Source organism: Homo sapiens, chromosome 1, assembly GCF_000001405.40.
Source record: "Homo sapiens chromosome 1, GRCh38.p14 Primary Assembly".
Taxonomy (NCBI): Eukaryota; Metazoa; Chordata; class Mammalia; order Primates; family Hominidae; genus Homo; species Homo sapiens.
The window spans coordinates 23,727,900-23,729,193 of record NC_000001.11 but is presented as its reverse complement, the minus strand read 5'-3'; the positions used below and the strand labels follow the sequence as shown (position 1 = coordinate 23,729,193).

Below are 1,294 nucleotides of genomic sequence, written 5' to 3'. Positions count from 1 at the left end.
TATGTGAGTTAATGAATATCTACAAAGAAGGGAGGCCTAACTCTGCCGGGAGAGCCACAGAAGGTTTCAGAAAGGGACCATCTGACCTAGATCTTGAAGGAGGAGGAGGAAGGAATTTGCCAGATGATAAGTGAGTGGAAGGATACTCCAGTTGAGGTGACAGCAGGTGTAAAGGGGCTGGAGTTCCAATGGAGCCTGCAGTGTTAGAGGAAATGTAAGCACGGCTTGAGAAGGGTGCATGAAGGAGAGCCAAGAGAAAAAGGCCATCTTCATAGGGGATACCCTCCCTCCTGAATCTTGGTCAAGACACCCTGAAACTGATAAACACATCCACAAATACTCCCCAGTGGGTACTGATTAAAGGGCCTGTGGGACTAGAGTGTTCTTCTACCTTGAAGACAAAAACAAAAAAACAAAAAAAAAACAAATCATCTGAGCACAGATGTAAAACCAGCCACATGGAACCACTATGTTCAAACTAGCATGACCTTCTGCAGCCCTCAAGGAACTACTCTCTAGAGAAGTCACTGTAGGCCGGGCGCGGTGACTCACGCCTGTCATCCCAGCACTTTGGGAGGCTGAGGTGGGTGGATCACCTGAGGTCAGAAGTTCGAGGCCAGCCTGGCCAACATGGTGAAACCCCGTCTCTACTAAAAATACAAAAATTAGCTGGGCGTGGTAACAGGCACCTCTAATTCCAGCTACTCGGGAAGCTGAGGCAGGATAATTACTTGAACCTGGGAGGCGGAGATTGCAGTGAGCTGAGATTGCCCCACTGCACTCTAGCCTAGGCAACAGAGCAAGACTCCATCTCAAAAAAAAAAAAAAGAAAGAAAGAAAGAAAGAAAAGAAAAAAGAATCATTGTTCCCTTAAGGCCAGCAGATTCCCCTTTCACTTCCTGGTTTGAATGGGGCAGGACACAGGCAAACCTCTAGAAAGTGTGTTTCCTCACCAAAGTGGGGAGTTGTGATTGTTGAATACGCTGATAACTAAATCAATAATACTTGTGCCAAGAACTAGAGAATAAAGAAGAAATACGCTCTTGAAATAGGAATAAAGATTCATTCAAATATTTATTGAACCCCCCCTCTGTGGCGGTACTGGGCTTGATGCTTGGCCTCCTGAGATGTGCAGACAGCCCCAAACCTAAACAAGAGTCCAGGCTAGTGGATGTGATGTTATTCAAAAGAAATATTTCACTAGGGAAGCCCTAAATCTCTCCATACCTAAAGGATGATCTGAAGACTTAAAACAAAAATTCTACTGAGGGAGAAGAAAGTTCTATAGATGTAT

The 1,294-nt window shown here is 45.1% G+C and overlaps 1 annotated feature.

The window, feature by feature from the left end:
* Nucleotides 694-843: an enhancer, noted in NCBI's record as "active region_376". NCBI's record gives its function as "activates an Ori minimal core promoter by ATAC-STARR-seq in GM12878 lymphoblastoid cells {active_cell/tissue: GM12878}" and the evidence as "EXISTENCE:reporter gene assay evidence [ECO:0000049][PMID:35858748]".